Source organism: Homo sapiens, chromosome 12 (assembly GCF_000001405.40).
Source record: "Homo sapiens chromosome 12, GRCh38.p14 Primary Assembly".
In the NCBI taxonomy this organism is placed as follows: domain Eukaryota; kingdom Metazoa; phylum Chordata; class Mammalia; order Primates; family Hominidae; genus Homo; species Homo sapiens.
This window is the reverse complement of record NC_000012.12, coordinates 77133437-77155776: the sequence shown is the minus strand read 5'-3', so window position 1 is coordinate 77155776 and position 22340 is coordinate 77133437. Positions and strand designations below refer to the sequence as shown.

The 22340-nt window shown below is 38.3% G+C and overlaps 1 long non-coding RNA gene across 2 annotated transcripts in view; it reads right to left on the bottom strand.

Annotated features, from left to right (window-relative positions):
* Positions 1-3672: 3672 nt before the first annotated feature.
* The window catches only part of LOC105369853 (uncharacterized), a 29698-nt gene continuing 11030 nt past the window's right edge, over positions 3673-22340 (bottom strand). Inside the window, exons 3-5 of one of the 2 annotated variants that reach the window (XR_945118.2) lie at positions 21760-22059; positions 21265-21320; positions 3673-3756 (exon numbers count right to left, since the gene is read on the bottom strand). This is a non-coding gene — a long non-coding RNA (uncharacterized LOC105369853). The remainder of the gene's footprint in view (positions 3757-21264; positions 21321-21759; positions 22060-22340) is intronic. The other variant, XR_945119.1, reaches the window with a different exon arrangement.

Genomic DNA, 22340 nt, shown 5'->3' with positions numbered 1-22340 from the left:
GAAGAACCTATATTACTCTAAGCAGAATTCTTTAATTTCTAATAGTTAGCTCACTTACAAAACAGGCTACAGTGTTATTTTAAGTATTCTTTGTTGTATAACACACTACTCCCAAAATTCAGGAGCTTAAAATAACAACAAACATGTATTATCTCTCATGGTTCTGTGTGTTGACTAGACATTTCGGCTTCTGTGCTGATGACTGGGGCAATGAGCTAGCTGGAAGGTCTACAGTGCTCTCACTTATATAGTAGGCACTACTGTTGGCTGCTGGTAGGGAGCTCAGTTGGATGTGTTGGCAAGAGGTCTTGGTTCTTCTACTCTATAGAGGCCATTGTACGTTGTTACTTAAATTCTCACAGCACAGCAATTTGGTTCCAAGAAAGAGCATTGTAATAGTGAGTATTTCAACAGTATTAACCCAACATGCAAACACTTACTGTGGTAAGCAGAATAAAATAAAATAAAGGCCCCCCCAAAGACATCTATGCTCTAAAACTTCCAAACTTATGAATATGTTACCTTAAATAGCAAAAGGCACTTTGCAATGTGATTAAGTTAAGGCGAGGCGGGGAGAGTGTCTGGGATTATCCAGGTGGACCCAATAATGCAATCAAAAAAATATTTTATAAGAGGGAGGTAGAAGTAAGACATTTGTCCACGTTATGCTGCTGATTTTGAAAATGAAAGTGGAAGAAAGGGCCACAAGCCAAGGAATACAGGCATTCTCTAGAGGCTAAACAAGACAATGAAATTCTCCCCTACAGCCTCCAGAAAGAATGCAGCCCTGCTGACACCTTGATTTTAGCCCAATGACACTTCTGATCTACAGAACTATAAATTAATGCTTTTATTTTGTTTTGAGCCAGTAAGTTTGTGTGATTTGTTAAAACAGAAATAGGAAACTAACACATTTGTAAAGTCTTGGTTTTTATCCCATTTGTTAATATTGTTAATATCCCATTTGTTAATACTGCATGGCTAAAGCCTAGAGTCATTGAACTGAATTCACAAAGCCATGGTTTATCATAATAGTCTACAGCAAAGTAATAATGCAATATAAGCATCATTTCCCTCAAAACATTTCCCATGTTTTAGTTTTCTACTGCTACTGTAACAAAATACCCAAATTTAGTGACTTAAAACAACACAAATTTATTATCACAGTTTCTGTAGGGTATCCATCTAACATGAGTACTAGCAGGCTGAAATCAAGATGTTGGCAGGGCTACATTCTTTACTGGGGGTACTGAGGGAAAATTTAATCCAAGCTAATTCATGTTGTTGGCTGAATTCAGTTCTGTGGGGATGTAAGACTGAGGTCCCTGTTTCCTTGCGGGCCCTCAATCAGTGGCCATCATTAGCTCTGGAGGCTTCTCTCCAGTCCTCACATGTGACCCCTTAGATCTCAAAATCAGAAAGAGTGCATCAAATACTTGTCACTCTCTGAATTCTCTGACCCTTCTTTCCACTACATCTTCCTCCATCTGGAGAACATTCTCTGCTTTTAAAAATTATGTGATTAAATTGAGTCCCCCCCGATAATCTCTCCATTTTAATACCACACCTTAATTACCTCTGCAAAGCTCTTTTTGCCATGTAATGTAACATATTCATAAGTTGCAGGGATTTGGTACAGACATCCTTGGGGAACATTATTCTTCCTTCCATAGTTCTCCAAAACCAGAATCTTCATGCCAATCAGAGGTTTAAAGTACAGCACCAATCTGCTCTGTACCCTGCGTATGAACAAACCCTCAAAGGCACAATTAGCACAGATAAACTCATCATCATTCTGCTGTTCACTGACTCCATCAGCATCTCCAGAAGACAATTTATTTGAGATGTTACTCCTCCAAAATTAGTCACAGTTGGCTATTTCATAACCAGCTCTGCTCTGTTGTTAAAGGGCAAGGCTTTTCAAAAGAGCAACAATGCTGTTTTTGCAATAAACACACAAATTGCCTTTCTTGACCATGAAGGACAACAACAGGAAGATTAATTGATTGAAAATGATCTCGTGACATCTTATGGTGGACAATGTGCCTGCAGTGACGAGTGCATCTTCACATCCCTCTTTACTCTCCAAAGATTTTGGACTTACTGTTCAACATTCAGAATCTCCTGGTATCTTCTTCATTGGAAAATGCAATGTAATTAGAGCATTTGGAGTGAATTGTGATTATCCTATGTTACAAACACGAGAAGTGTTTCTTATAGATACAGAGACTAACACAAATAGGTAAGTAGCAGCCGCAACTATATGTTTTTTAAAATCCAACTGCTTTGATTCATTCCAAAAAATTAATTTTTAAAATATTGTATTAGAGATTCAAGAACAAGTTTGAAAAAACAATACTGTAGCAACAAAGTTAAGGAATAATGTGATATTCAAAGTTAGTGAGGAGAATTTCATTTTTTAATTGATATATAATATTTGCACATATTTATAGGGTACCTGTGATATTTTGTTAAATGCACAGAATATGTATTGATCAAGTCAGGGTATTTAGAATGTCCATCACCTCAAGCATTTATCATTTCTATGTGTTGGGAACATTTCAAGTCCTCTCAGCTAGCTGTTTTGAAATATACAATACATTATTCTTCACTGTAGTTACCCTAGTCTATCCAAAATTAGAACTTTATCTAACTGCATGTTTGTGCCCATTAACCAACCTTTCTTGATCCCTTCTCCCTCCCCCATACACTGTTGCCAGTCTCTAGTAAGTATCATTCTACTTCCATAGTTATTCAACCAAGAGAGAAAATTATGTGAAGGAGCTGGTAGAAGGTAGGGTACTTTGCAATTGCTGAAGCCTTCTTGCCAGTGATGCATCTTTAAATTCTGTTCCTCCAGGGAAAATTTCAGGGTGCCCCCTCCTACCACCCCCAACAACAGATACAGCTTGGGAAAAACTAAAGCTGCCTGGGAAGATGTAAGTTTAGAAGCTTTTGTTCTAACTTTACACATTGAGGTGGAAGGGAGCCTCCTTCTGGTCAATCACATAGAAGCGAATTTTGTTTTTCACTGAAAGTTCTACTTTGCCTACTTTATTGCTGGACTTGCAACCAGCTTCTCTTACTAAAAAAAAAAAATTCTGCAGTAATCATGTAAGAACAAAGGGGGGAAAAATCACTCTAAACTACGACAGCAGAAATATGCCCAGACATATACATACTTCAAAGCAAAGGAAGTTCTGTACTGTTTCAATTACTAATCATTTAACACAACAAATTCCAAAGAAAACACAACCTACATATTGAATATATTCTTTAGTTATGGGAAGATTTAGGACAAACTCTGTAAGCTAAATAACTTGAAAGTGAACTTTTTGTATGACCTTTTCTTTAAAATATTTATTATTTTAATGTAGTCTACATGTAGACTCCTAATATTTATTTATAATAAATGTACTATAGGAGCATAAATCCTGATTTATTTATTTTAATTTACAAATACATCAATCTGATTAATGGAGTCATTTTTCTGTCCTGTCACATTAAATTACATCCATAGTCAAACACCTAAAGTAAATTATAGGCTTATTCAGGGAACATCCTGTCAAGAAACTATTTGGCACACTGTAAACAGCCAATAAATATTGAAAATAGTAAACATGTATTCTATCAAGGCATATATAGTGTAGATTTTCACATACTTGTAAATTCTTCAGTTGAAACGTTAACAGTCCAGTTTGTCCCTCATCCAATACACTTGAGAGTTTCTTCTCCTTCCATTAATTGAAATGCATTCTGGAGAGAGAAGCTGATTAATATTAATCAAGCTTACTATGAAAGCAAAGCCATGCTATTGCCATATGATAATTTTAGAATCAAGAATCAATGCATTCCTTGTTTCCTCAATTCATGCTGACATTTAATTTTTATCTATTTATTTTTATTTATTGATTGATTTTTTTAATTTTATTATTAATATACTTTAAGTTTTAGGGTACATGTGCACATTTAATTGCATGTCCTAATGTAGAAATATTCACTTGTCGAGAAGAATCGGGGAGAATGGGGCTGAAGTGCCTCCTTTACATATTCTGGGAAGGCTTCCTAAATGCTAATTCATACTGAATGGGAGGAAGAGGATTCCCCTCTACTAGGCACTGGGTCTATACAGTGGAGAAAAGAGGTACAGTTCCTGTCCTCAAGAAGTTTATAATCTATTAGAAAGAAGGTCAAAATCAGAATATACAGCAGAGAAAACAGGTATAGTTCCTGTCCTCAAGAAGTGTATAATCTATTAGAAAGATTAAAATCAGAAGTGCAAGGAAGTATTATAAATGCTGAGATAGAAAAAATGAAAAAAAAGAAAGAACTTGTCATTTCAAAGTTAGTTCTAAGGGTGAACGGCTGGGAAACGTTCTACTCTTGTGCTTGAGCACATCAGCTCCCTGCTGTAAAAGGCACCTGAAAGTCTTATCTTTCTGTGCGAGATGTAGGAAATGTTATGAAAAACTGAATGAAGGAAAAGGCCCCAGGCCAACTTGAGGCTGATTCATGATCAAAGCATTGTTTGCAGTAGGCTAGTCCCTAACCATCAGGTATAGACTCAAATGCCAGATAGCAAATGCCAGAATGTAGCTTCCTGCTGGGTGCCACCCATGGGCACACCTACATACACGGGATATGCTGCCTCACACTAGAGATATTTCTTTCACTTTGGTGTTCATTCAACAGCCTTAGAAATACTCAAGGGCTTAGAACCCTGACTCACCAGTACCACAGTCCCCTTTTCCCCACCCAGGTCTCCAAAGAGATATGTGTGTTCTGCGTAAATAGGATTCTTGGAGATATGTCCCAAAATCCCAAATTATCTGAGTTCAAGGAGCTAAAGAGCTCCCTTCTCACTATCATCTTCCTGCAGCCTCCCCAGCCCCCACTCAGCAATGGCCATTCCTAGGTGAGGATGGGATCTCTGGCAAGGATTATGTCTCCTATTTCTTTTTGGGGATCCTCCACAGTTCCTGCCATAACACCTTACAGGTTAGTTCATTAAATGATTGATAATGATGATGGTGGTAACAACAAATGCAAGAACTCCTCAAAAGTGACTAGAATGGTAGAATCCCAAGATTTTACCATGAGCCAAAAGTTCTGTGAAAAATCTGGTTGGATAGCACAATTAAAGACATTCTATGCATTTATATTCTCATTCTCTCTTCCCCCAGTATCTTAACAGAGTGTTGACTGACATCTGTGTTCTTTACTAGTGCACCCAGGAAGAAATGCAGAGGCTCCTGTTGGTGCTAAATAAGGCATCTTATTTGCTTAACACAAGTCACCATATGGAGCAGGTTCTACCTGAGTCCTGCCTGGGTGAAGTGAAATTATCATGAGACCTTATGTCCAATTTATTCTGAGCCCTGGCGTAGTAAGCAATGTCCCGAGGTGCTGCCACAGATGCTGGGCCTGTGTTAGTAGAACCAGGCATGGGGGCCCTAACCTGTGTCCAGTAAACAGAGGGAGGTCTTTGATCTCACTGGGAGGGTGCAGTTTTGTTGCTTGCACCCCATTCTGGACCCATAAAGCTTATATTTGTTACAAGAGCATTTATTTGGAAAATTAATAGACAAAGTGCTCATTTGCTTTAAGAAAAGCAAAGAACAAGCTCAACAATTTATGGGAAATTTTATTTGACTACTGGGTCACTGGTTTAATTTTGCATATGTTCTCATAAATGTAACCAGCAGGGTTTTATGCAAGAATCATCTTGTAAACTAAAAGTGCTGGCAGAGGAAAATCAGTTTGCAGCACCCAAGACATTAGGGAAATTGGCAACCATGGAAAACACCTGTAATGCTTTCCTCCCCAGCCTCACAGCCAACCACCAGAGGAAGAATACCCTTGCTCAAACACTCCTCTTGGGTGATTAGCTCTTCTGTCAACCAATTAACTTCTGAGTGAATTTCAATATTAAAGAGGAGAAGCTGAAAGTAACAATAGCACTTATCCCGGTGTTATTTTGTAATAAAAAAATATTATCTGGCCAGGCAGGGTGGCTCACTCCTGTAATCCTAGCACTTTGGGAGGCTGAGGCAGGTGGATCGCTTGAGGTCAGGAGTTCGAGACCAGCCTGCCCAACATGGTGAAACCCCGTCTCTACTAAAAATACAAAAATTAGCCAGGTGTCGTGGCACATACCTATAATCCCAGCTACTCAGGAGGCTGAGGCAGGAGAATTGCTTGAACCTGGGAGGTGAAGGTTGCATTGAGCCAAGATTGCACTACTGCACTCCAGCCTGGGTGACAGAGGGAGACTCCATCTCAAATACACACACACACACACACACACACACACACACACACACACACATATACAATCTGACTTAGTAATCAGGCTGTCACACCTTGTGTACTCCCAAACAATGGCAAATTAACGTAAAACATAATAAATAGAGAAATTCTCTGGTGTGTGTGTTGAGGGAGGGAGGATTGCATGCTTTGCATTTAAATGGCAAAGACTGACCTGAGAAAATGTGCTTATGGGAACTTTAGAGCCTTGTACATTTACCTCAGCGCTACTAGAGATCAGAAATCCACCAGTGCAGACGAACAATCCCCATGTGAAGTTGCTGCTGTGAGGATGCAAGTTGATGTTGTAATTAAATTCACTCTAGACAGACATTTTGCTTTCTGAGCAGCCCTACATACTGCTGTCCCTTAAAGTGGTTATTAAAGGGTTATGATAGGACTTAACGACGGTGGCTACTATTTGTGATTAGGACCTACCAGATCAAGACACTATGCTGGGCAAATGAACCCTAACCCCTTTCAGTACTGATACAATCTTGCAGCATATGTATTCTTATCCCTATTTTACAGATCAGGAAATGGAACCTCAGAGAAGTTAAAAAGCGGGAAAAAAATGATATGTGAACTTAGTCTAACTCCAAGTCAAGCTCATGATATGTGAACTTAGTCTAACTCCAAAGTCAAGCTCTTTCCACAATCATTTCAAGCTCTTTTCACATATATTTTCCCCTAGGGGGAAAAGGATCCCCAAATAGAAAGTTATAGTTTGCAGTTCTTTGTCATAGAAGTAGAGCCTCAGGGAGCTAGAACACTGCTGACCTGACCCAACTCAGGAGCCGAAACAGTAAACCTGTAAGGTTTGTCATTCATGTATTCCTCATTTCACCCTAAAGACAGATTGTGGTGTTTTCACCCTTGGTAGTAATGTGATTCTGTAACAATCTTCTGAATACCCATGAGAGGATTGAGGAGACCAAAGAGGAGTCATTCATTCATTCATTGGTCCTTTCACTTGTTCAGTCATTCATTTAATCCAAGCAATACAAGAATAATGGTTTCAAGCAGTGGTTGGCAATCTACTACTTTATTACAATCATAAATAAAGTTTCATAAACTTTATTAATGAAATCAGGTAGTGGGTCACATGTGGGTCAAATGTGACTCACCACTGGTTTTCATAAATAAAGTTTTACTGGAACACAACTTTGTGTTCATTTACATATTGTCTGTGACTGCTTTGCACACTACAAGAGCAAATGTGAGTTATAGCAATAGAGGCAGAATGCACCACACAGCTGAAAATATTTATGAATGGACCCTTTACAAAAAATGTTTGCTAATTTCTGATTATTCCATTCAAACACTGGCCCTGCCCATTGGGCTTGAACCTCTCTGAGCCTCGATTTCCTCTTATGTAAATCAGAGATGAAAATAATGATGTTACCTAATTGATTTGCTATGAGGATTAAATATTTTTATATGTAAAGTACCCAGGACAAAGTAAGCACTGAATATTGTTATTATTATTATTCATTCCTTCACCAGTATTGCCAGAGTGGTTGAAAAATAGGGCACAGGCTGCAATTAGTACTGTGTCCAGTCCCCTGCCTGCTGGGCTATTTGAGATGCCTGTTACATGGGCACATAGGCAGTAGGGAATCCATGTGTGGGCCAGGTGTATACACTTGGGAGTTAATCATGAGTGATATTTTAAAGCTACAAAGCTGGATGAAATCACTTAGAAAGTGATTGAGATGGAATTACTGGAGAAAATGTATGCAGAGAGTAGAAAAGGGCCAGACACAAATCCTGGAGTACCCCAAAATTTGAGGTGAAGTAGAGCAGGGGAAGTCAGGAAAGGAAGTTGAGAAGGAAAGGATCGACGAAACAGGAAGAAAAGTAGGAGACTGTGGTGGCTGAGAAGTTTAAAAATAAATTGTTCCAAGGAGAGTGTGGTCAGATATGCTAACTACACATGATGGTTCAAGAACATGTAGACTAAGAGTGGATCCATTTGATTGGCAACATGCAGGTCATTGCTGACTTCCTAAGAAAGATTTTGCTGGCTGGTATGCTTTCAAGAGTGTGAAGGTAGAAACTGTACATACAGGCAACTATTTGGAGGACTTTTGCTATAAAAGGGAGTGGAGAAATGTGGCAGAATCTAAAAGACGTGGGATCAAGGGAGGAATTTGTAAGACGGGATTACAACAGGTGGGTCTGCTGGTGGAAATGACTCAGGAGAGTGGGGAAAGAATGGAGATGGCTGCAGCAGTAGCTGAGCAAAGATGGAATTCAGGGATAAATGGGCAAGCTACATTCCTTATTCAAAATTTCTGCATAAATGAATTACATTTGTCTACCCAACTCCTGGCTTTTGGCAACTTCAATATCCTAGTCCCCCATTTGGTCCCATATTTAGCTCTTATTTTCTGTGTATCCTGTAATACTGAGACTCAAGTTCTGGCTTTCCATCTTGTCTTTGCCCTTTGACACATCTAAAGGATACAACTCTACTCCTCTTAATCCCAATGACTCCAAAGAAATTGACCCAGGTAGGCTGCTCCATTTGCTGTTTGCTGTCATTGTGCTTTTGAAGGATAATTGGATACAATTGTGCAATGTGCACTGTGTAACCCTAGAGGCCATCATTCACATAGTTGGCTGAGTTATTAATATAATGTTCTAGCAGATGGCAACAAGTGTTTTTGCTCTATCAAGACAATATTCCATCAGATAAAAGTTGCATCTTAATGAAGAAGCCCTATTTTCTTTTTTGTTTTTTGTATTTTAACTTTTTTTTTAATACTTTAAGTTTTAGGGTACATGTACACAACGTGCAGGTTTGTTACATATGTATACATGTGCCATGTTGGTGTGCTGCACCCATTAACTCTTCATTTAACATTGGGTATATCTCCTAATGCTATCCCTCCCCCCTCCCCCCACTCCACAACCGTCGCCAGTGTGTAATGTTCCCCTTCCTGTGTCCACGTGTTCTCACTGTTCAATTCCCACCTATGAGTGAGAACATGTGGTGTTTGGTTTTTTGTCTTTGCGATAGTTTGCTAAGAATGATGGTTTCCAGCTTCATCCATGTACCTACAAAGGACATGAACTCATCATTTTTTATGGCTGCATAGTATTCCATGGTGTATATGTGCCATATTTTCTTAATCCAGTCTATCATTGTTGGACATCTGGGTTGGTTCCAAGTCTTTGCTATTGTGAATAGTGCCACAATAAACATACGTGTGCATGTGTTTTTATAGCAGCATGTTTTATAATTCTTTGGGTATATACCCAGTAATGGGATGGCTAGGTCAGATGGTATTTCTAGTTCTACATCCCTGAGGAATTGCCACACTGACTTCCACAATGGCTGAACTAGTTTACAGTCCCACCAACAGTGTAAGAGTGTTCCTATTTCTCCACATCCTCTCCAGCACCCATTGTTTCCTGACTTTTTAATGATCACCATTCTAACTGGTGTGAGATGGTAGCTCACTGTGGTTTTTATTTGTATTTCTCTGATGGCCAGTGATGATGAGTATTTTCTCATGTGTCTTTTGGCTGCATAAATGTCTTCTTTTGAGAAGTGTCTGTTCATATCCTTTGCCCACTTGTTGATGGGGTTGTTTGTTTTTTCTTGTAAATTTATTTGAGTTCATTGTAGATTCTGGATATTAGCCCTTGGTCAGATGAGTAGATTGCAAAAATTTTCTCCCATTCTGTAGGTTGTCTGTTCACTCTGATGGTAGTTTCTTTTGATGTGCAGAAGCCCTTTAGTTTAATTAGATCCCATTTCTCAATTTTGGCTTTTGTTGCCATTGCTTTTGGTATTTTAGGCATGAAGTCCTTGCCCATGCCTATGTCCTGAATGGTATTGCCTAGGTTTTCTGCTAGGGTTTTTATGGTTTTAGGTCTAACATTTAAGTCTTTAATCCATCTTGAATTAATTTTTGTGTAAGGTGTAAGGAAGGGATCCAGTTTCAGCTTTCTACATATGGCTAGCCAGTTTTCCCAGCACCATTTATTAAATAGGGAATCCTTTCCCCATTTCCTGTTTTTGACAGGTTTGTCAAAGATCAGATAGTTGTAGATATGTAGCGTTATTTCTGAGGGCTCTCTTCTGTTCCATTGATCTATATCTCTGTTTTGGTACCAGTACCATGCTGTTTTGGTTACTGTAGCCTTGTAGTATAGTTTGAAGTCAAGTAGCATGATGCCACCAGCTTTGTTCTTTTGGCTTAGGATTGACTTGGCGATGCGGGCTCTTTTCTGGTTCCATATGAACTTTAAAGTAGTTTTTTCCAATTCTGTGAAGAAAGTCATTGGTAGCTTGATGGTGATGGCATTGAATCTATAAATGACCTTGGGCAGTATGGCCATTTTCACAATATTGATTCTTCCTACCCATGAGCATGGAATGTTCTTCCATTTGTTTGTATCCTCTTTTATTTCATTGAGCAGTGGTTTGTAGTTCTCCTTGAAGAGGTCTTTCACATCCCTTGTAAGTTGGATTCCTAGGTATTTTATTCTCTTTGAAGCAATTGTGAATGGGAGTTCACTCATGATTTGGCTCTCTGTTTGTCTGTTATTGGTGTATAAGAATGCTTGTGATTTTTGCACATTGATTTTGTATCCTGAGACTTTGCTGAAGTTGCCTATCAGCTTAAGGAGATTTTGGGCTGAGACGATGGGGTTTTCTAGAAATACAATCATGTCATCTGCAAACAGGGACAATTTGACTTCCTCTTTTCCTAATTGAATACCCTTTATTTCTTTCTCCTGCCTGATTGCCCTGGCCAGAACTTCCAACACTATGTTGAATAGGAGTGGTGAGAGAGGGCATCCCTGTCTTGTGCCAGTATTCAAAGGGAATGAAGAATCCGTATTTTCTAATTCACACTAAGGCAACATAACAACTTCTGATAGTCCCGCATGTGAGGTCTATTTCTGCTGTAACATGAAGGGAAATCACATAAGCGGTTCAGTAGGATTGAGCACAAAACTCAAGGAGAAGATATTGTGCCTAAAAGAACCATAACAATGTCAAAGCCTTGTCTCTTGCAAACCATAAATAAAAATATTTACCAATTCCTAATGACGTGGAATTGATGATTAAATGAACAATCCAACAGTAAAACACCTGATGAAATTTGTTATACATGTACCTGCATTCATTATTACATAAACCTGTATGTAGATTGCTTATAGCAATGCTTTTTTTCTTTAAAACAATAGAACATAACCTGTCATTTCAAAGCCAAATCAAAATACTCCATTCTGTAACAGTTGATGTTTAAATATAAGAAACCCAAGTATCGAAGCTTTTTGGCCCTAGGCAGGTACTTTTTTGCCCTCTAGACCATGACTTACACTAATGAGCCTTAGATATAACTAATGCCCAAATGATGATTCTCCCTGAATTAAGAACTTCCAGGTAAAGTCAGATATAGGCAGACACAGTGAACAGCACCCAAAATATGCACAACTTAAGAGAAATTTGCCCTGAGGAAAATGAATAAGAAGCATTATTCTTGGGCTCCTACCTCTCTCAGCACATGTTAGGGAAACATACCTTTTCACACTATCTTAATTTATTTACCTTATTTAGCTTCTATTATCTCTGCCTGTTTAGTCCCACCTGTCTTTAAAGACCTAGCTCAAAATCTACCTTCTTCTTAAAAAGGCAAATACTGTATGATCCTACACATATGAGGTATCTAAAGTAGTCAAATTCAAAGCAACAGAAAGCAAAATGGTGGTTACCAGGGGTGGGAAAGAGTGAAGGTAACCTATAGATTGGGAGAAAATCTTTGCAAACTGTATATCTGATAAGGGGTTAAAATATCTAAAATATGTCAGGAACTCCTACAATGCAATAGCAAAAAACTAACAACCTGATTTTAAAATGCTTTCTGTTATTTTTAACTGTTGATTTTATCACAAAAGAAAATCTCTAACTTTAACACCATTCCTTCCCCCTACATTTTGACTTTTTGATATCTCAATTTACATCTTCTACATTTTGTATATCTTAGCCAACTTTTGTAGTGATATTCTTTAATAGTTTTGTCTTTTAATCTTCATACTCAAGATATAAGTGTATAAAGATATCCATACCACAATTATAGTATTAGAATAGTCTGAATTTGTTGGCGTATTTACTTTCACCAGTGAGTTTTATACCTTCAGATGTTTTCTTGGTACACATTCATGTTCTTTTCTCTCAGATTGAAAAAAAGATCCATTTAGCTTTTCTTTTTTTTTTTTTTTTTTTCGAGGCAGAGTTTCGCTCTCATTGCCCAGGCTGCAGTGCAATGGCGCAATCTCAGCTCACCAAAACCTCTGCCTCCCGGGTTCGGGTGATTCTCCTGCCTCAGCCTCCCAAGTAGCTGGGATTACAGACATGCACCACCATGCCCAACTAATTTTGTATTTTTAGTAGAGATGGGGTTTCTCCATGTTGGTCAAACTGGTCTTGAACTCCCGACCTCAGGTGATCCACCCACCTCGGCCTCACAAAGTGCTGGGATTATAGGCATGAGCCACCATGCCCAGCGCATTTAGCTTTTCTTATAAGATAAGTTGGGTGTTGATGAATTCCCTTAGTTTTTGTTTGTCTGGGAAAGTCTATCTCTGTTTCATATTTGAAGGATAGTTTTGCTCGGTACTGTATTGCGAGGAAAAGGAAAGAAGAGAATGAGGAGGGGCTAGTCAATGGGTACAAAGTTTTAGTTAGAAAAGAAGAATAAATTCTGGCATCTTTTTGCATAGTAGGGTAACTATAGCAAATAACAACGTATCATATATTTCAAGATAGCTAAAAAAAGAGGATCCTGAAAGTTATTACCACAAAGAAAAGATAAAGGTTTGAGATGATGAATATGTTAATTACCTTGATTTGATCATTATACAATGTATACATATATTGAAACATCACAATGTACCCCATAAACATGTGCAATTATTATGTGTCAATTACAAAAAACTTTTTTAATTGGCAGAGGACTTGAATAGACATTTCTCCAAAGAAATGGCCAACAGGTATATGAAAACACACTCAACATCACTAATCATCAGAGAAATGCGCATCAAAACCACAATGAGATATACCTCACACCTTTCAGGATGGCCATTATCAAAAAGACAAAAGAAAACAAGGGTTGGCAAGGATGCAGAGAAATTGGAAGCCTTGTACACTGTTGGTGAGAATGTAAAACCTGCTATTTTAACTCCGCTTTCTAATACCAGGATCTTCAAGATTTGGAGACCTGAGGCTGAATCTGAGTTAAACATAAAGGTAACACAAGAAATAGGTTAAGAGTGAAACTCCTCAGAGAAGTTTCAACTGGCAGTCAAGGAAGACTATGCAGACAGTGGCCTCTTTCATTTGCTCATTCTTTCATTCAGCAAAAGATTATTGAGCTTCTAAGTACAAAACACCATCCTTATTGTGTGGGAAACAAGGCTGACACAATCCCTGCCTTTAGAAATGTGTAGTCTAGCAGATTCTTACTCTTTCTCCCAAGAAAAGATGAGGAGAAAGTGCCAGCCATGTGGGCCCGTGTCAGCCCAGGATCTGTGGGCTAGAGCCAGATATAACAGCAACTTAAGAAGGGCCGAAATGTCTCAAAATGTGCCCAAAGAAAAGAAGAAAAAATATGAGAAATTAAATTTGTCAACAGGTACAAGAAGCAAATACAAATGCCAAAATATGAGACAAAGACAAAGGTAAGGTAAATGCAGCCACGGAGCAAGAGTTAAGGACCAAGATGAGACTACGACAAAAATTACGAGGACTTTGGCCATCATCAGAACAGGATATCAGAGTTCTCTCATAATAAATGCATTTCCAATTGCTACAGGTGAATTCACCAAGGTAAAAGGCCTGGGATCAGGAAAAGCAGACAAGTAGGGTAAATCTACAAGCAAACAAATGAGAAATATTAAGTTTCATAAGAAAGAAGACTGCAGAAGAGACAGCATAACATAGCATTTAGCAGCACAAATACTGATGTCAATGTGTCTCAGTTAGACAACTGCACCAGTTATTTGCTGTGTAGCCTTGGGTGATATGACTTGGTTTTCCCATCTGTAAATTAGAAACAATTATATCTGACTTATAGAAGGCATTGTGAGGGTGAAATGAGTTGATTTATGTAAAGGGTTGAGTATAGTGCCGAGCACATAGTAAGCTAACTATAAGTGTTTGCTATTATGGGTTAAAGGCAAGAGTAATCAATTCCAGGTGTGAGAGCCAGGGAAGCAACTAGCATTTGAGTTCATTCTTAAATAATAGGTACAACTTAGACATACGTGAAGGGACTGTGTGGATAGGTGAGAATGGCATGAATGGTCAAGCTGTGTTTTGAGAAGAGAGAAAGAAAACAGAATGGTTGAAATACAGGGTCAGAATAATCAGAGATGGGACTTGAAAGGCAAGTTGCAGTGGGATAAGTTGAATGCTAAGCTAAGAAGTCCAAACCTTATTTAGAAAGCAATGGAAAATCCTTGCAGGAGTTTGAAATGGGATGATCAGAGCAGTAAGTGAATCTGGCAGCCCTTTGGCAAAGTACCAAGGTACGAAGCACATATACCCAGGTAAAGAAGAAGGATTAGGTACAAAAGGCATCGTTAAAGACTTGCAAATTGTGCAGTTATAAGAAAGTATCTTAGAAAAGAGGTGTAAATAAAACCTGTGAAACATATAACCTATCAACATACAAAATCAATACTGTATTTCCACTGTAACAACTAAGAATTTGAATCTCTTGTCATTCTATTTTTTATCTAGATGTCCATTTCTATGTAAATTTCTTTAAAACGCATTCACATTTCTTCAAAATATGATCCTAAACTGATCTCCAACCTTATCTATCTCCAGCCTGTATCTATCTCCACTCCATGCTATAGAAAAATTGCATTAATTATTGTTCCCAATCAGTGAAAATACATTGCAAATCATAAAGAACCATATAAACTTCCATGGTTTGTTTATTATTTAAATAGTTTGTATTTTCTTTACTTTAGGCCTTGGCTCACACAGTTTTCTCTACTGGAAGAGTCTTTCTATCTGCAACTGCCAAATTCCTATCTAAACTTCAAGGGCCAGCTGAAACACTGTCTTTTCCATGAAGCCTTCCTTGCCTCTTCAACAGGAAATGATCTCTCAAAGCACTTGTTATGTAACCCTCATATAGCTATAATTTAATGCAAAATGCAATAAATGCTAATTGTGAATGTCATAGCTATGCCATTACTAGTATGTTTTTTAATTTGAATAGTGCTTGAGAGTTTACAAAGGCATGTCTCACCAATATACAGAACCAAGTAATCCTTTTAAATACTTTGATACACAAGAAAAGAAAATTATTATTACCCTCATTCTTTACTGCTGATGAAAGATTACATGAATTACTCAATGTCACACAGTTGGAAGGTAGCAGCACCAAGACTTGAGCCCAGATCCAGGGAATTTCCTGTCACATCTTCTCCCACCCAAGAAGATCCCCTGATCCCAAACCTCTCAGACTGTGCCCATCATGAGCTTATGCTGGTCCAAGGAGCAGTATCTCCATGGTGTGCTGTCTTCCAGGGCAGAGGCACTGTGATTTTTACCTTTCAGTTTACAGATCACCATTACCCTATCTGCCTTTGCCAGACATGACCACAATCACAACACTCTTTCTACTTTCAGCCCATTAGTTACAGTGTCCCCGCAAGCAGCCAAGACCAAGTGATCAGAGTTGCAACCAAAATAAAGACTGTTGGCCATCCTGGATACAGGGATCATGGAGGTATCACAGTGTCCATCTCAGAACAGCAAAGGCTGGACCTGACTACTTCAGATTTAGTACAATTATCTTAGTACACTGCTCAGCAGGACATTGGACATTCTGTCCCAATTCTGTCCAGTGCAGGAAGGAGGAAAGAGGAAAGGAAAGGAGGGTGGAGAAAGGTCACTAGAACTTTGCATGATTTTGTAATATTCTGTGACTTTACTTAAGGGTCTTGCTTTTACCATCATTTATGTATAATGAATAGTTTGTCATTTTCCATGTTTCATTTTCTAGCTGCAGAGCTAGACCAAAAGGGACAACCTAGCAAAGGGAAAACAAATGATTGAGTGGTACGAGGCACTAGTTCATGAAGTATAACATTACTTTCTGCCAAATCCTTTCCCTTGTCAAATTTTTGCCAGAATCAATTGGTTATTTTTGGAATTATTAAACATAGTACTGAATCAAGCAAATTATGCTACAAATAATACTTTGCAGAGAAAGAAAATAATAGATGATTAATGCTTCAATGCAGTCTTCTTAGAATAGTGTTTTCTAATGAATTACATGATCTAGATATTTAGAAAACTGTCTTCCTACCAAGGAATGCTCCTTTATGAACTTAAAAAAATCAGAATGATGCCTTACACAAATAGTATTAATTCTTGGTTTTTAAATAAGCATTTTTCATTTAAGTAACAAATGTGTAGGAAGAATATTCAGTCATCTAATTTCATATTTTCAGGACTTTACTTCCTCTGATTTTCTTAAATCATTACAGAAAATTCAGTGTTTTTCATCACATCTTTATTTTAATCTTTATTGCTTTTCTGATTATAATGCTATGCTGATTATAAGAATAATGCTATACTGTACTACTATAAAAATTCATATATTTCAGAAAAGCATTATACAGAAAGCAAAGAATCCTGCAATTAGCCAGAATTGCTACTCTTCTAGCAATCTCTGAGCACAGCTTCAAATTTTCTCAATCTATTAACCTTTTGACCTCTCTTTCTTCAAGATCAGCCCAGCCCCAGTTCCTTCCGCCACAATACAGCCCTGACTTTCCAGCCTACGTGCAGTGAAACACCCATAATTTTTTAAATGTACTTTGGTCCTTCAGTCGCTTTAAGCCCTGCAATTTTTCTCTTTTCTTTCTTATCTAAACATCTCAAGAGCAAGGTATATTCATTTCTCAGATCACTGAAATCTGGCTTCTTTCCCTTCTACTCAACAGAAACCATGAGGTTCTAATGTCCCAATGTAATGAATACATTTTTCTAAGAAATCTTTTCTCTAACTTTAACACTGCTGTGTCTCCTTCCTCAAAATACTTATCTCGTTGGTTTGATTACGGTTCTCTGTCCTGCTTTTCTTCCTACGTCTCTGATAATAGTTTGCTGAGTTCATTTATTATTCCTTCTCCCTTTGTTTGTCCTTTATATCTTGGTGCCTTGTGTTTGGCCCACTCTCCTCCCCACTCTACATGCACTATCTCCTCTGAGTTAGCTATTGATTTCATGGTTTCTACAACCACCTATTTCAGACTGATAACTATAAATCTTATTCATCTCCAGCCCTTAATGGTATCATTAGGCTCCATACTCATGCAGGTACCTGTATTTCCCAAAGACATCTCAAAATCAACATTGTCCAGAGTGAATTCGTCATGTCCTCCCCCTTTTCCTAACCTGAGACCCCCTCCTGCTGTATTGACATCACCCATCTCATTACCCAAGTGAGAAACCAGGCAGTCATGTGTTACTTTTTCTTCTTCTCTATTCTTCTTACAAACGTAACCATCAATACACATTTTGACTCCGTTCCTTTGTTTTTAATTTAGGCCCCGTTTCTCTTTGCAACTTGTAAGAATAATTTTCTTGAGTCTCATCTATCAAAGTCCAGATACTGATTTTCTTTGTAGAGAAAGGAGGAAATAAAAATAATTGGATTATGGTAATATTTTAATTCTTAATCTGAATAGTGCTTAACTAGGAGCATTCACTTTATGATCATTTGTCCAGCTGTATATTTACAATTTTTACAAACTTTGATGTATGTGTTACACGTCAATAAAAATTCCCTTTAAAAAAAAACAGGACATCTATAACTAAATAGAAAATAGTATTATGTACAATTGAAAAAGGGTTATAACTATAAAGCAATATTTTAAAGAAACAATTTGGAGAAACTAGGTGTCTCAGCATAGATGCCTTAAAAAGCTATTACAACTAAATTACTGGAGAACTACCAACCACAAATAAGTATCCAACACAAACATATTATTACTATCTCAAAGAATTCATGCAGAAATTTTACTTAGATACAATCAAAAAGCTACTTGTTCCATAAAATATGCTCTAGCTTTCAAAGAAAGGTGAAAACAAAGATGATTCTCAGTTGTTTTTTCCAGCTGACATCACCAGAAAGTTCCTTTTCAATTTCATTTGTTTTAGAGGCAGCTGCAGGCTTTTCCTGGACCATGCATTAGCTAACTGTCCCTTTACAAACTTTTTCACTGTCTATGCATACCTAGAAGACCTTCAGGGTTTTTTATCCTTATGTTCTGATGCAGAGTAGGACTACACAGACAAATATGTGCCTTTCAAAAAGGCCGGAAAATATTTCAACAGCTTCCAGGTGTCTTTCCAGGTCAGGAAAGAGTTTATATTAAGAGGCTTTTATCTTTAAAAATAGGAAACAGGTTAACTATCAACTTTAGGTCAATGTTAGATGATCTAACTGAGAGGTTAAAATGGTATCCAAATGTCCTTGCCATAGTTTGCTGAGAATGATGGTTTCCAGCTTCATCCATGTCCCTACAAAGGACACTAAAACTTAAAGTATAATAAAAAAAAATGGTATCCAAATGGGCCACCTTCAGCTTGTGGTCCAGCAGGAATAGCAGAAGGAATATGAGTTGAGTAGATGAAGTTTGGTATCCACCTCATGGTCATCTATTGCCTCTATCTGTAGTTAAAAAGTGCAGCAGCCAACAGCACCCATACCTCACCACCATGCTTCCTCACATACAGGTACCACATGGGTTCTTTTCACAGCTATTGTAGGGTGGCCTCAGCCAGTGACAATAAGCAGAGAGCCCATAGGTGCTTTTCCTCCCAGAGAGGGGCAAGTTCTCCACTCTGTCACCTCCTACAATCAACATTTAACATATTAAGTCATATATTCCAAGACACAATATCTCTGGCCTCACAGAATTCTTAGCCTAGATGGAAACTCTGATATTTTTAAACTCCATTATTCTACAATTCTAGTAAATGGGCCTTTGCTTTGTTCCCCTAGTTGTGAGCTTCCACTTCAGTAAACCACTTAGACCCACAGTTCCTGTAGAAATGGGGTTTCTCTGGCTTGCTCTTGTCAGCTTCCTTTCAGGAACCACGATCTGCCCCTTAATCCCTGTCAGGCATTGCTGAAACATTTCAAGCCAATTTCTTGTCTATTAGTCTGACTTTCTGGCTGCCTATTTGTCTACCCACCTGGAATTTCAGATGATTCATTTTTTTCCCCAATGATGCATTTAGAATTGTTTATCATCTTGGATTGAACTCCCACCCTCACCTTTATATCAAATGCTTCCTGACACAGAGACTGATCTGGAAGAGGGGACTTCTCCAAAGCTCCAGCAATTTTGTCTAATGTTTCTGTAATGAAAAAATACTGACAGAGCCCCAAATTGTTCCCACCTTCTGGTAACCATACCTATGTATAATTCCTCCTCTTCAGTATGAGTGAAAACTACTACTTGCTTCTAATCAATAGAATATGACAAAAGTGATGGGATCCATTTCTGTGATTAGGTTACATAGAATCTTATGTTCCATCTTGCTAGCAGACTCTTATCATTGACTCTGTCTCTTGCTAGCTTTGATGTAGTGAAATTGCATATGGAGAGATCCATATGGCAAGAAACTAAAAGTGACCTCAGGCAAATAACCTGATAGAAACCAAAACTCACAGTCCAACATCCCACAAAGAACCAATCTTGCCAACAATCATGCGAGCTTAGAAGTGGATCCTTCCTCAGTTAAGCCCCAAATGAGACTCCAGCCCTGGTTGACACTTTGACTGTAGTCCTGCAAGAAACCCTATGATAGAAGACCCAGCCAAACCATGCCTAGACTCCTGAGTCACAGAAACTGTGAGCTAATAAATGTGTTATTTTAAGCCACTAAGTCTATGGTAATATGTTATACAGCAGATCATTAATATAGTTTCCAATGTCTGCCCCACTCCCAAATGGTAACCGAAGTTAAGTGGGTCAATTCCAGACCAGTCTCAAATTGTCACATTTTTAATAACAAGCCTCTAACTTGATAGGTATTTGAAGACAAAGAAAGAGCAATATGTTTACAGAGATCAATTTCTAGTGCTATTAATTTCAGCCATTTTTGAGTGTCTGAGGAGAGTTGGTAAACAGTTAGTAAATGTCTAACAATATCTTTTATTTTATTTGGCAGAAGCATTGTTCATTTTCCTATCCTGTGACAGACTATATTTTCAGAAGATGGCCACACCAATATCCTTTGTCCTACATACTCTCATGCAATGTGACCTTGCCACTATTCCATCAAATATGGAGTTTAATTCCCCTCCTCTTGGATTTGGGCCAGGTTTGATGACATGTTTATAACCAATAAAATGTGTAGAAGTGATGCTGCATTTTTGAGGCTAGATCAGAAGAGGCTGCCCAGCTCCCACTTACTCCTTCTCAGAACCCAGTTATCACACTGTGAGAAGCTGAAGCCATATGGAGAAGCCAGTTGCAGGAGCTCCAGATAACAGGTGTAGCTGAGCCCAGCCTTCAGGTCAGGTACCAAATTCATGAATGAAGAAGCCCCCCAGTGGTTCCCCAGCAGTGTGGATCACTCCAACAATTTGAGCTTTCCCAAGTGAAACTGCAAGCATCATGGAGCAGAGACAAGGTATGTGCGTGTGTGTGTGTATGTGTGTGTGTGTGTGTGTGTGTGTGTGTGTGTCAAACTGGGCTAGAATCTGGTACCCAGTTCAATTAAACACTAATATAGATGTTGCTGTGAAGGTAACTTTATAGATTGGATTAACATCACATCTATAATCAGGTGACTATATGTAAAGATTGTCTGGATAACCTAGGCTAGCCTTATTCAATTGGTTAAAAGGCTTTACAAACAGAGCTGAGGTTTTCCAAAAAAAGAAGAAATTCTACCTGTGGATGGAAGTGTCAGCTGCTAACCTCGTTTCCAGTCTAGTCTTTCTGTTGGCCTGCCATAAAATACCATAAACAATAAACAAATGGTTATTTTTTATACCACTAAGATTGAATTGTTTGTTATACAGCAATAGATAACCAGAACATTTCCTGTTACTTGGTCATTTTCTAAGGAATTCTCTAAATCACTGGAAAATACTGCTTGTATGTATTTTGCATCCCTCTCATACTTAAGGCAAAATAAAGGAAGATGTAGAGTACTGCTTCTGAATCCAAATACACTTTCATTCATTACACCATTGAGCTCTAAATCAAACACTCCTCTGTGTCTTTAGTCAAGACTATATTAAAAATATACACAACAAAATGCTTCCTAACCTATTCTTAGAGAAGGGAACTACATTTGTAACCTGGATTTTCCCTTGCTGCATCAACGTACCAGACTCACACAAATAATAACAATGATATCAAATTAATGATAATAAACAGTACCTCTCCAGATGCAGCTCCACCATTTTTTAGAGCCTCCATTCTCTAAAAGCTCTCCTTCTCTATCTTCAAATTTTTCTGTGTGCCCTTTTGAGGTTTCTCTTAAATGAGCAGGCAAAAAACCATCTTCTCCACTTCTGCTTGGTGCCCCCTCATTCTTTCTCCACACTTCTTCAGCCCCCATTTGGAGTGTCCAGTGTTGAACCTGCCACTGACTTGCGAAGTCTTGTAAGGGAGGTACCCTAGTACACCATCAGCGTCTGCTGTCCGTGGTGCTGATATCTGTGCCAAGGGCACTATAACCTAATGACAAAAAGCACTGCCTCATACTACTGATAAAAACCACTGGCCCCAGACATCAGAGCCAGAGCTTCATTCTGGATTTTGCCAGATGCTCCCATAAAAGATATTGACTATTCTCATGGTTCTGGGGGCAGGGTTTGGTTGAAGCTGCAAGTGTTATTAATATGTTGGTGCCCTAAATATACCAAAGTTCCATAGTCTCTGTACTCACCTTTTTAATCCCTTCATTTTTTTTTTGTACCATGCTTCTTTAACCAGAACGAATACAGTTTGCTTACTGA